Here is a 13,001-nt window from a genome sequence, read left to right on the forward strand (position 1 = left end):
CCTGGTAGCTTCAAGATCATTTGAGCATTTCCTCCACAGCAGGAGCCGGATGCATCTGCTCCACCTAATAACCCCATTAGGGCCATTTGCACCTCTCAGGGGCAGGCGCCTGGGAACCCAGCCAGCGCCCTCCTCCCTGACCTCTTGCCCCAGAGGGCAGGGCCCCTCCACATGGCACAGGGTGTCTTCCGGTCTCCTCTCCATCCCTCACCCTCCCCTACCTGCCCATCAGCAACACATTGCTCCTCCTGCCTGGCACCCTTCCAAGGTCCACCTGGCCCAAGTGTCCTGCTCCTTCTTCAAAGCCACCCCTCCCCAAGATGCTGCCTCTGAAGCTCCAACAGTCCATCTCCCTGACAGTTGTGTCCTCTCCTTCTCTCGTATGTGGTAGTATCACTGTCTTCCCCCTAAAGCAGTGGGCACCTTGAGGGCAGAACCTTGCCGCGGGCATCTCTGGCCCCTGGGGTCCGAGCACTGAGCGGGAATCCTGATGATAAGTGTTGCATGAGCTGGGCACAGTGGCTCACGCCTGTAATCCCAGCAGGAGGATCACTTGAGACCAGGAGTTCGAGACCAGCCTGAGCAACATAGTGAGACCCCGTCGCTAAAGAAATTTAAAAAATTAGCCAGACATAGTGCCATGTACCTATAGTCCAAGCTACTTAGGAGGCTGAGGCGGAAGGATCGCTTGCACCCAGGAGTTTGAGGCTGCAATGAGCTATGATCACACCACTGTTCTTTCCAGCCTGGGCAACAGAGTGAGATTCCATGTCTACAAAAAAATTAAAAATTAGCCGGACGTGGTGTCATGTGCCTGTAGTCCCAGCTACTCTCAGGAGGCTGAGGTGGGAGGATCACCGGAGCCCAGGAATTAGAGACTGCAGTGAGCTATGATGGTGCCACTGCACTCCAGCCTGGGCTATAAGGTGAAACTCCATTTCAAAAAAAAAAAAAAAAGAAACTGCGCCTTTTGCCTTTTGTGTACTCTAGGAAAGGACTGGAGGAAGTGGAGGCAGAGGGCTTGAAGTCCTCCAGCCAACAGGGGGCAGGCTGGGGAGAGGGGCCACAGGGAGGATGCTTGGGTGGAAAGATAGCAAGTGCCAGCCATGCTGCCCCGTGGCCTTTGGTTACCAGGAGGCTGTCTGGGCAGGACAAGAGGAGCACCTATCTCAGGTCCACAGTCCGCCAACAAGCCCAGCTAATTTTTTGTCATTTTTGTAGAGATGGGGTTTCACCATGTTGCCCAGGCTGGTCTCGAACTCCTGGGCTCAAGTGATCCTCCTGCCTCAGCCTCCCAAAGTGCTGGGATTACAGGCCTGAGCCACCGCAACCGGCTTTGGGTCCACAGTCTTCACAGTTCCCAAGGCATGTTCACCTTGGTTTAGCCTTACTGTGGCCTTGTGGGTTCAGGGTTACCATCCTCATTTTACAGATAGGGACAGTAAGGCTGGCAGAGAGGCCTGTCCTGCCCCAGGTGACAATTTCTCTAGGATCCTGAGCCTTGCCCTGGTCCTACACGCCCTTGGGGACCTCCTCAGGAGGAGGAGCCAGGGGCAGTGGTGCAGAAAGACTACCCAGGTGTATGATGTCACGGACAGGCAGGGAGGTTTTGGGGGCATTTATTTCTGATAGAGACTGGCACAAGCTTTGGGCTAAGGACACCCGCCCCCACCCTCATCTAGAAACAATCTCTCTCACCAGACTTGATGGCTCACGCCTGTAATCCCAGCATTTTGGGAGGCCGAGTCGGGCGGATCACAAGGTCAAGAGACGGAGGCCATCCTGGCCAACATGGTGAAACCCCATCTCTACTAAAAATACAAAAATGAGCTGGGCATGGTGGCGTGTGCCTGTAGTCCCAGCTACTCAGGAGGCTGAAGCAGGAAAATCGCTTGAACCCGTGAGGCAGAGGTTGCAGTGAGCCAAGATCGCGCCAGCCTGGCGACAGAGTGAGACTCCGTCTCAAAAAAAAAAAAAAAAATAGTAAAGAAAAGAAACAATCTCTCTCAGGGTCCAGAAGCTTCAGGGCGTGTCCCAGCTCAGGCTCTGCAGCCTGGGCCAGGGAGGAGGTGGAGGGACACGTGGGCCCCTCTGGAACCCCTCAGGAAGCCCCCTCGGCAGGAGTGCTGAACGCGAGGTGCGTGGTGTATCTTCTCACACTCCCTGCCTCCTCTGGGCCTGATAGGGAAGTGCTCCTGCAGCTGTTGAAGCTTGGGAGGGGAGGAGAGAGGGAGAGATGATGGATGCTGAAGAAAGGCTCTGGCCGAGATCCCACAGCCATTGGCTAGCATGCTCTGACCCATCGCATAGGGGAAACTGAGACTCCACTGGCTGGGCAGAATTAACCAAAGGGACTGAGGCGATTCCTTCAAACCTCACAAATCTAGCTCATTGCTCCTGCTCCCCATCACTCTCCCCCTCCACCCTCCACACCTCAGGACCCCGCTCAAACATTATCTGCCTGTCTCCCCTGATCAAAACCCACTCCCGGCTCCCATAGGCTGCAGGATACAGCCCAGTTCCTCAGCTAGGCACCTGGGGCCCCTGGCCTGGCCTGGCTGCATGCACCCCTCCTGCCCCTCCTGCCCCCACACCTCCCCACCCCCTTTTTAGTCACTCCCTCTCCCCCTCCTCCCCAAATCCCAACAGGGCTAGGTCTCCCCTTTTCTCTAGGAAGCCTTGTGGACACTCTCTGTGCCCCAGGCTCAGGCACCTGAGCTCTGTATGAAATCCTGACACCCCCCCCTTTTTTTTTTTAAATGGAGTCTCACTCTGTCACCCAGGTTGGAGTGCAGTGATGCAATCTCAGCTCACTGCAACCTCCACCTCCAAGGTTCAAGCCATTCTCCTTCCTCAGCCTCCTGAGTAGCTGGGATTACAAGCACGTGCCACCACACCCGGCTAATTTTTTGTATTTTTAGTAGAGCTGGGGTTTCACTATGTTGGCCAGGCCGGTCTTGAACTCCTGACCTCAGGTGATCTGCGGGCCTCAGCCTCCCAAAGTGCTGGGATTACAGGCGTGAGCCACCGCACCCGGCCTGTATGGCGTCTTGAGGCAATGCTCAGAGCTTGGTGTGAAAGCAATTCACCTCCTCCTTGGGCGCCTCCCCGACTGGGGTGTCCGCAGGCGGCACCCACTTGCAATCCCAGATGCTGCCACCAGGGGGTGCACAGTGCCCGCTTGGAAGGTGGGCAGGGGCGGGCGGGGAGGAACTAGAGAGGGAGGGGTTAATGCCCAAGGGCCCCGCCCCTCCCAAGAGGCATGGGCGGTCTCAGCCCGGTCCACTCACCAGGTGTATATGAGCACAGCCAGGAGGACCGTGAGGAGGACGGCCAGGAGGATAGACAGGATGGCGATGATGACCACGGTGCCCGGGCTCTGGGGGCCGGGGACAGCCCGAAGTGCCTGGGCTGAGGGCAGTGATGGGGGCCGCACAGGCGGGCAGGAAAAGAAATTTTACCTGACCGGAAGGGGCCCTTGGGCAGAATCCAGACCAATCACCGCCCTGCCTCCCCTACTACCACCCAGGCCTGGGGGAAGGGGGTGGCTGGGGGAGGGGTGCCTGCAGATTGCAAGATGGTTGGCTGCCTCTGACTGAGTGGTGAGCTGACCTGTTCCCCCAGCCCATCCTCAGTCCTCAGGACCCCCAGGCCCCAGCCCCCTGCCCCTACTGTTTGACCGGAGCCTCTGGCCCCTACCTTGCTGCAGGCGAGTGTCGCTGGACCACTTTGTTTCAGCCACGGGTCCTTCGTCATTCATCACCAGGAACTTCACCCTGAATGGGAGACCCAGCATTGGACATGGGGGTCCCCCGGAGTCCTGAAACCATCAGACTTGGTGCCTGCAAGTCTGTCCCCTGGAGTCCCAGGCCCTGGCGAGAGCAGCCCGGGGAGGGGGCCGGAGGCTGGGGCGAAAGAGCCCAACAGAATGGGTTCAAATCTAGGTGTGACATTTCCAGTGGTGTGACGTCCCTCCCCCTCTCTGGGCTTCTGTGTCCTCATTTGGGAAAGGTAGAGGGCGAGTATTAGATGTCTCAGAACTGAACATGCGTGAATCAAGCATTTAGTGAGGGGAGACCCTGTCTGGATGGAGAGACGCCACCTGAGTGGTCCACACAGCCTGTGGGGACTGGGGCTTGAGGTGGGGAACCTTCTGCTCAAGAAAAGCAGGATAGGCCAGGCATGGTGGCTCACGTCTGTAATCCCAGCACTTTGGGAGGCCAAGGTGGGCCTTCAAGATCACTTGAAGCCAGGAGTTGAGACCCGCCTGGCCAACATGGTGAAACCTCATCTCTACTAAAATTACAAAAATTAGCCAGGCATGGTGGCAGGTACCTGGCCAACATGGCGAAACCCTGTCTCTACTAAAAATACAAAAAGTAGTCGGGTGTGGTGTCAGATGCCTGTAATTCCAGCTACTCGTTAGGCTGAGGCTGGAGAATCGCTTGAACCCGGGAGGCACAGGTTGCAGTGAGCCGAGATCACACCACTGTACTCCAGCCTGGGTCACAGAGCAAGACTCCATCTCAAAAAACAAAACAAAAAAAAAAAAAAAAAAAAAGAAGAAAAGGAAAAAAAAAAAAAAGAGAAGAAGGATAATTCATGTAATTCATGAAGGCCTCCCTAGCCCCTGCCTGCTGCTTCCTCTTCCCTTTGGCCAAGCAGGAGCAGGGGACCCAGGCATCCTGCTGGGGCCCTGGTGAGCCTCGTAGGAGCTGCCCCAGGCTCCGGCTTGGGTGCATGCGGGCAGGAGCCAGGGCCTGGCAGAGCTGCTCACCTGTAGGGGCCGGGTCCTGGTAGGGGATGGTTGCAGCCAATTTTTGTTGGTTGGCAGTGGGTATCATTGCCGACGCGGAGGACATGGAGCTGGCCTCTGGTCTGGTACAGCACCCGGTTGGCCCTCAGTGTGAGATAGTAGCCCCTCTGGGAGAAGTTGGCAGGAGCAGGGATGTCCTGGTTTGTCCGTGGGGCCGTGAAGCTCTGGGTGGCTAAGGGTGGCACCATGGTCAGACAGGTCACACAGCAGGATCCCACCCTCACCTTACCAAGCCTGACAGCCCTCCCCGGCCCCATCCCCTGCAGCACCTGCTCCCTGCATCTCCCTGCAACACACCCGCTACTGCCCTTAGGCCCGCAGGCCCATTTCACATAGGGAAAACCGAAGCCTGGCCCCAGCAGCACCCACCGTTGCTGAGGGCCACCACCAGCCAGATGGTATCCAAGTCAGAGATGTTGTGGCTGCTGAACTGGCCTAGAGGCTGCTCCAGCGTGAAGGTGGACAGGGTGAGCCTCCCCGCCAAGGTGTCGTTTGAGAGCTGGGGCACATAGCTGATGTGCTCTGGGGCAGCTGGAAGGGGAGGGCAGAGAGGAGAGGCCAAATGGGGCAACCAAGCCCCAACAGCTCTGGTCTCCCCCCGCCCAGATCCAGACTTAACATGGGAGCCCCAAGTTACGGGCACTTCCTGGGAGGTCAGGTCCGGTATGAACCAGGAAGCTTTCCCGGCAACTCTATGCCCCATGGGCATGGGTGGGAGGCCTGAGTCCAGCCCCTGGCCCCTCTCTTAGGAGCCTACTGGGGGTGGGCACTGTGGGAGGTCTAGGACAATGGTGGCATGGGAGGTCCCACCCTGGCGGTAGGCACAGTTCTCCCGGGCCGGGCCATGTTGGGATGGAACTGGAATTTGGGGGCAGCCTGACCCTAGGCTGAACTCTGTTCCTGACATGCCCAGTGACCTCCAACTTAAGTCCCTCCAGCTCCACCCACATGGTCTAGGTTGTTTTGCTTGATGAGAGGATGCGTGGCTTGGCAGGGGTCGGGGGGATGGCACAGGAAGGTCCTCTTGGCTGAGACCCCAGGCTGGGACACAGACTGCCCAGAGGGTCCGGGGGCTCTGGAGCCAGAGCTTGGTTCCGAGTGAGTCTAGAACGTCCTCTTCAACCTGCCTGGTTCTCTGCCGCCTCCCAACATGGCCCCAAGGCATCTTCGCCTTCAGGACCAGGTCCCCCTCTCAGACTCCCACCTCATCTCTCTGGGGAAGGGTGGGGGACGAGGACAAGCTTCCCAGGTCTGTACCCCAAAGGGGACTCAGGATTGGCAACTTGGCCTGTGTCCAGCCTTGCTGGTTGGAGAGCTCAGACCTCCCCAACCCCAAATACTGGTCTAGGAGAAGCAGAACGATGGAGTGGGTTTCTATGTGAGTCTCCAGCAGCTGCCCCTGTTCAGTTCAGTTCAGTTCAACTTGATTCATTTACGTTGAATTCAACTCAACTCCAAAGGTTCAGGCTAGAGTCTTCCTTGGGGAAGGATTGTCACGATTCCTTTCTTAGAGCTCTCAGTCCTATCTCTGAAGCCCAGGGCACTCTGTGTGCAGGAGGCACGTAATGTTTAGAAAGAGAAGTGGAGGCCGGGCGCGGTGGCTCACGTCTGTAATCCCAGCACTTTGGGAGACTAAGGCGGGCATATCACGAGGTCAGGAGTTCGAGACCAGACTGGCCAATATGGTGAAACCCTGTTTCTACTAAAAATACAAAAATTAGCCAGACATAGTGGCGCACGGCTGTAATCTCAGCTACTCAGGAGGCTGAGGCAGGAGAATTGCTTGAACCCGAGAGGCGGAGGTTGTGGTGAGCCGAGATCGCGCCACTGTACTCCAGCCTGGGTGACAGTGGGAGACTCTGTCTCGAAAAAAAAAAAAAAAAAGAAAGAAAGAAAAAAAAGAAAAAGAAAAAGAAAAAGAGAAGCGGAGCAGTCAGAGATTGGGGTTGGGGGCAGAGATTGTAGGACTGTATCTCTCAGCCTGTCCAGTTTTTCTTTTCTTTTCTTTTTTGAGACAGGGTCTTGCTGTTTGGCCCAGGCTGGAGTGCAGTGGCGCATTCATAGTTCACTGCATGGGCTCAAGCCATCCTCCCGCCTCAGTCTCCCAAGTAGCTGGGATTACAGGTGCACTCCACCACACCCAGCTAATTAAAAACAAAAATCTTAAAAAAAAAAATCTTTTTGAAAAAAGGGGTCTTGTTATGTTGCCCAGGCTGGGCTTACCAGAGCTTCCTGGGGACATGCATTGTCCTGGACATCTGGAAACCTCTCCTCAGGGAAAGGAAGGAGGCAGGAGCCATGTGTGAGAATTTGGAAACAAAGTGAGGTCTTGGGTTTGTCCTGCAGCCTGAGATGCAGCGGGTACCCCTGTGCCAATCCCCACCCTTACTCACCCACGTCTGTCCCAGGCTGGACACGGGTCAGTAGCAGCAACAGCGACACTAGCAGCTGGGACTGTCCCGCAGAGAGCCCTATGGCCGGGCCAAGCCTCCAGCTGTTGTCCATCTGTCTGTCCGTCCGTCTGCAGTGTCTGCAGCCCCAGAGGCTCCCCTGTCTGTAGTCTGTGCTGTGCTAGGGGAAGCTGTTCCTGGCATCTCCTGCTGCCCCTCCCAGCTACCCCCTCCTCTCAAACAACTGGTTGGACAGGTTTGGGGGCAGAATCTGCCAGCCCAGTGAATCTGGCATCGCCAGGGAGGGGTCTGAAGAGAACATACAGTTGCAAGACAAGCCTGGACTACCCCCCCCACCCACCAGGAGCGCCTGACCAGGGAGGGGCTGAGGAAGGAGGCGGGGCAGCCTCAGGATCCAGGCTGCCCCAGGGACAATCCCGCTAAGTCTACCCCGTGGATCTCCTTGTCCAAACAGTCCCCAATGTAGCGACTCTTCCTTTAGGACCTGAGGTGGGAGGATCACTCGAGCCTGGGAGGTTGAGGCTGCAGTGAGCCAAGATGGCACCACTGCACTCCAGCCTGGATGACAGAGTGGGACCCTGCCTCAAAAAAAAAAAAAAAAAAAAAAAAAAAAAAAAAAAAAAAAAAAACCAACCTAGGAGGAGTTGGTGTCTGTTTTTGGTTCATAGGGAGTGCCGGTCAAGCAAACTCCCTGGAGTCTCTTTTATTTATTATTATTTTTTTTTTGGGGGGGCAGGGTCTCACTCTTTCGCCCAGGCTGGAGTGCAGTGGTGCGATCATAGCTCACTGTGGCCTTGACCTCCCAGGCTCAAGGTTCTCAGATTCTCAGGCCCCACCCTGGGGAAGGATGGAGGATGAGGACAAGCTTCCCAGGTCCACATGACAGAGGGACTCAGGATTGGCAATTTGGCCTGTGTCCAGCTTTGCTGCTCAGAGAGCTCAGATCCCCACCCTCAATTCACTCCCTTGTGTGGAAGGGAGTGACCCTCACTTTCTAGCACACACAGGGAAGAGGGCTTGGCTAAGAGCACCCAGGAGGTCAGGGCAGGACTGGGGATTAGATCACACCCAAATGCAAGCTCTGTGGCACTCCTGGTATAGCCCTGCTGTCCCCCTGTAGCCTGGCCCTGGGAGGGGGGCTCCCAGACTTCACACCCCCTCACCTCTTTATCCAGGGGACCGGCTGTCTCTTCCTCCTTCATCCCCAGCCTCTGTCAGGGCAGGGTAGTTCCTCCTCGAGACAGAAAATTACCAGATGGAAGTCCAGGCATGGTGGCTCACGCCTGTAATCCCAGCATTTTGAGAGGCCGAGGTGGGTGGATCACCTGAGGTCAGGAGTTCGAGACCAGCCTGGCCAACACGGCGAAACCCCATCTCTACTAAAAATACAAAATTAGCTGGACGTGGTGGCTTGTTCTTGTAACTCCAGCTACGCAGGAGGCTGAGGCAGGAGAACCACTTGAACCCAGGAGGCAGAGGTTGCAATGAGCCGAGATCGCACCACTGCATTCCAGCCTGGGCAACAAGAGTGAAACTCCCCCTCAAAAAAAAAAAAAAAAAAAAAAAAGATGAGATGGGGCTCAGGGCAGGTGGAGCGAGACCTGTGACCACCTCTCCCCTGGATCGGGGTGCTAGCCCCCGTCAGCCTGACCTTCACGCTCTAATTATGCCAGATGTCTTCATTCTGGGAAACCCAACAGATTATCACCTGTGGGCCCCATTTTTGGATGAAGAGGGACCATTCCCTGAAGGGGACATACCTCAGTTCCCCGAGGGGATTCAGATGTTCACCTCAACTCACAAGAAAAACTTCTGGCCGGGCGCAGTGGTTCACACCTGTAATCCCAGCACTTTGGGTGGCCAAGGTGGGCGGATCATCTGAGGTCAGAAGTTTGAGACCAGCCTGACCAATGTGGAAAAACCCCGTCTCTACTAAAGATACAAAATTAGTCAGTCGTGGTGGCACGCGCCTGTAATTCCAGCTACTCGGGAGGTTGAGGCACAAGAATCGCTTGGACCCAGGATGGGGAGGCCGTAGTGAGCCGAGATCACACCACTGCACTCCAGCCTGGGTGACAAAGTGAGACTCCATCTTAAAAAAAAAAGAACAAGAACAAAAACAAAAACTAGGAAGAGTTGGTGTCTGTTTTTGGTTCGTAGAGAGTGCCTTCTAGCTGTGTCCTCATATGGTGGAAGGGTCAAGGAAGCTCTCTGGGGTCTCTTTTATTTATTATATTATTATTATTTTTTGAGACGGGTCTCACTCTGTTGCCCAGGCTGGAGTGCAGTGGTGTGATCATAGCTCACTGCAGCCTTGACCTCCCAGGATCAAGTGATCCTCCCACTTCAGCCTCCCTAGTAGCTGAGACTGCAGGTATAAGGCACCATGCCCAGCTAATTTTTTGTTTGTTTGTTTGTTTGTTTTGAGACAGAGTCTCACTGTCGTTCAGGCTGGAGTGCAATGGCACGATCTCGGCTCACTGCAACCTCCACCTCCTGGGTTCAAGTGATTCTCCTGCCTCAGCCTGCTGCGTAGCTGGGATTACTGGCGTGCACAACCACTCCTGGTTAATTTTTGTATTTTTGGTAGAGACGGGGTTCGCCATGTTGGCCAGGCTGGTCTTGAACCCCTGACCTCATGTGATCTGCCTGCCTCGGCCTCCCAAAGTGCTGAAATTACAGGCGTGAGCCACTGTGTCCGGCTGCCCAGCTAATTTTTTAACTTTTTGTAGAAAGAGAGTCTTACTGTGTTGCCCAGGCTGGTCTCAAATTCCTGGGCTCAAGTGATCCTCCCACCTCAGCCTCCTGAAGTTCTGGGATTCCAGGTGTGAGCCACCATGTCCGGCCTGTATAATACAATTTTTCCCTCTCTCACTCCCTTTCAAAAGGCAGTTGAAAGCAGACATCAGAATGTGGGAAGGGCTTGTTTCCCCTTTTTGAAAACACGTTCTTGCTCATCGACTCATCCTCTCCTTGGGTCCCCAGAGATGGGCAGGGCAGGTGTTATGACTAATCTCATTATATGGATGAGAAGAAACCTGGGGCCCGGCAGGGAAAGAAACTTCCTGCAGTCCCAGGGCAGGTCAGCGGCAGGGCTGGGACCCAACCCCAGGTCTCCTGTACCCAGGCAGGACTCCCTCTTTGCCTTTTTTTTTTAAATTTAATTAATTAATTTGAGTTGGAGTCTCGGTCTGTCACCCAGGCTGGAGTGCAGTGGCACAATCTCAGCTCACTGCAGCTTCTGCCTCTGGGGTTCCAGTGATTCTCCTGTCTCAACCTCCCAGGTAGCTGAGATTACGGGCACACGCCACCACGCCTGGCCAACTTTAGTATTTTTAGTAAAGACAGGGTTTCACCATGTTGGCCAGGCTGGTCTCAAACTCCTGACTTCAGGTGATCCACCTGCCTCGGCCTCCCAAAGTGCTGGGATTACAGGTGTGAGCCACTGCACCCAGCCTGTCACCTTTTTTTTTTTTTTTTTGAGACTGAGTCTCCCTTTGTCACCCAGGCTGCCATGCAGTGGTGCCATCATAGCTCACTGCAATCTGTCTCCTGGGCTCAAACAATGATCCCGCCTCAGCCTCCTGAATAGCAGAGACGACAGGTGTGCACCACCATGCCTGGCTCATTTTTAAATTTTTTGTAGAGATGTGGTCTCACTATGTTGCCCAGGCTGGTCTCGAACTCCTGGGCTCAAGTGATCCTCCCACCTTGGCTTCCCAAAATGCTGGGATTACAGGTGTGAGCCACTGCACCCGCCCTTGAATGGATTTTAAAAACCCACCTAGGCTGGGCGTGGTGGTGCATGTTTGTAGTTCCAGTACTTTGAGAGGCTGAGGCCGGAGGATCATATGAGGCCAGGAGTTTAAGGTTGCAGTGAACCATGATCATACCACTGCACTCCAGCCTAGGCGACGGAGTGAGACCCTGTCTCTAAACTAATAATAATTTTTGAAAGTGTTAAAATCCACCTAGAATTTATTTTTGGTGTGATGTGTGATTCAAATTATTTTTTTCTCAAGTTAGCCCGTTATTCAAACACTAAAATATTGAAAAATGCATCCTAAGCCGGGTGCAGTGGCTCACACCAGCACTTTGGGAGGCCAACGCAGGCGGATCACCCGAGGTTGGGAGTTCAAGACCAGCCTGACCAACATGGAGAATAATAATAAGCCGAGATCGCACCATTGTACTCCAGCCTGGGCAGCGAGAGTGAAACTCCATCTCAAAAAGAAAGAGAGAAAGAGAGAGAGAGAGATAAAGGAAGGGAGGAAAGAAAAAGAAAGAAAGGAAAGAAAGAAAGAAAGAAAGAAAGAAAGAAAGAAAGATGTATCCTTTCCCTATTTGAACTGAAATGCCTTTTTTTTTTTTTTTTTTTTTTTTTTTTGAGACGGAGTCAGGCTGGAGTGCAGTGGTGCAATTTCGGCTCGTTGTAGCCTCCGCCTCCCAGGTTCAAGTGATTCTCCTGCCTCAGCCTCCCAAGTAGCTGGGATTACAGGCGCACACCACCAACCCACATAATTTTTGTTTTTTTAGTACAGATGAGTTTTCACCATGTTGGCCAGGCTGGTCTCAAAGTCCTGACCTCATATGATCTGCCCACCTCGGCCTCCCAAGGTGCTGGGGTGACAGGCATGAGCCACCACGCCTGGCCTGAAATGCCGTTTTTATCATACGCTGCAGACTAATGCATCCTCAGTGTCACCTCCCAGCTTGATGTGGGACAAGCCACCAAGGGTGTCCTCACCATGGCCCTGCTCAGGCCACCAGTTGGCTATGTTTGCCCCTGCCACCCCAGGCACACAGGAGTTCAGGAGTCCTCTCTGGCCTTGCCTTTATCCTGGGGCAGCTGCAGGTGACAACCTCTGGAAGAGGTGGTAAGAGGAGCCAGGACACAGGCCAGTCTGAGGGACACACTCCTCCCACAGTCCTGGAGAGGGGCCTGCATGTTTCTGCACCTGGAGGGCCGGGCCAGGGTGGGGAAGACTGGGGATGGGGGGGAGGCTGGACCCTGCAGGTTCTTGGACCTGTGGTCAACCGGGAAGCCAAGTCCCTGATCTGCAGTGAGGCTGCGGCTGCCAGCCCCTTGAATAGGCACAGTAAGCACCTCCCAGCAATGCCACTGTGCAGAAGAGATGCCAACAGTGACAAGGGGGGCCAGGATGGTCCCCAAACCAGACACCCCATCTTCACCCTCTGCCATTTTCCTTCTCCAGGTCAGCCCTGGGGCCCTGGCACAAGCTCAGGAGGGGAGAGAGGCCATGCAAAGTGATCACACTGGACCCTCTGCCCTGAGAGCCTGGGCACTGGGAACCAGATGTACTGTGATTTAGAAGAATGCGGCCGGGTGCGGTGGCTCACAGCTGTAATCCGAGCACTTTGGGAGGTTGAGGCAAGAGGATCGCTTGAGCTCAGGAGTTCGAGACCAGCCTAGGCAATATGGTTAGACCCATCTCTACTAAAAATACAAAAAATTAGCTGCGCATGGTGGTGCACGCCTGTAGTCCCAGTTACTCATGAGGCTGAGGGTTGAGGCATGAGAATTGCTTGAGCTCAGGGTGGTTGGGGGAGGTTGGGGGGATGGAGGGTAGAACTGAGCTGGGATAGTGCACCACTGCATCCAGTCTGGGTGACAGAGTGAGACCCTGTCTCAAAAAAAAAAAAAAATGCATCTTATACCTTGAGGGTCATGGAGTCTTTCACGCCTTCGTGTGTGTGTGTGTGTGTGTGTGTGTGTGTGTGTGTGTGTTCAGGTCAACTTCTGGAATTTCTGT

At 54.7% G+C, this 13,001-nt stretch overlaps 1 protein-coding gene and 1 long non-coding RNA gene across 2 annotated transcripts in view, besides 2 other annotated features; both read right to left on the reverse strand.

Moving 5' to 3' along the window:
* Positions 1-1,603: 1,603 nt before the first annotated feature.
* UPK3BL2 (uroplakin 3B like 2) lies at positions 1,604-7,381 on the reverse strand. The gene is made up of 6 exons (NM_001363506.2): positions 7,210-7,381; positions 5,186-5,347; positions 4,778-4,988; positions 3,700-3,776; positions 3,291-3,411; positions 1,604-2,210 (listed from the first exon to the last, which is right to left on the reverse strand). The coding sequence occupies exons 1-6, from the start codon at positions 7,319-7,321 to the stop codon at positions 2,102-2,104; spliced, it is 792 nt and encodes a 263-aa protein (NP_001350435.1). The 5' UTR covers positions 7,322-7,381; the 3' UTR covers positions 1,604-2,101.
* POLR2J3-UPK3BL2 (POLR2J3-UPK3BL2 readthrough) overlaps positions 1,604-13,001 on the reverse strand; it is a 34,665-nt gene continuing 23,267 nt past the window's right edge. The window contains exons 5-9 of the long non-coding RNA NR_173351.1: positions 5,186-5,347; positions 4,778-4,988; positions 3,700-3,776; positions 3,291-3,411; positions 1,604-2,210 (exon numbers count right to left, since the gene is read on the reverse strand). This is a non-coding gene — a long non-coding RNA (POLR2J3-UPK3BL2 readthrough). The remainder of the gene's footprint in view (positions 2,211-3,290; positions 3,412-3,699; positions 3,777-4,777; positions 4,989-5,185; positions 5,348-13,001) is intronic.
* Positions 2,723-3,550: an enhancer, noted in NCBI's record as "H3K4me1 hESC enhancer chr7:102179485-102180312 (GRCh37/hg19 assembly coordinates)". NCBI's record gives its function as "activates a minimal SCP1, AML or CMV promoter by ChIP-STARR-seq in primed H9 embryonic stem cells {active_cell/tissue: H9 hESC(primed)}" and the evidence as "EXISTENCE:reporter gene assay evidence [ECO:0000049][PMID:30033119]".
* Positions 7,459-7,959: an enhancer, noted in NCBI's record as "H3K4me1 hESC enhancer chr7:102184221-102184721 (GRCh37/hg19 assembly coordinates)". NCBI's record gives its function as "activates a minimal SCP1, AML or CMV promoter by ChIP-STARR-seq in naive H9 embryonic stem cells {active_cell/tissue: H9 hESC(naive)}" and the evidence as "EXISTENCE:reporter gene assay evidence [ECO:0000049][PMID:30033119]".

The sequence above is a fragment of the Homo sapiens genome, chromosome 7 (genome assembly GCF_000001405.40).
Source record: "Homo sapiens chromosome 7, GRCh38.p14 Primary Assembly".
NCBI lineage: Eukaryota > Metazoa > Chordata > Mammalia > Primates > Hominidae > Homo > Homo sapiens.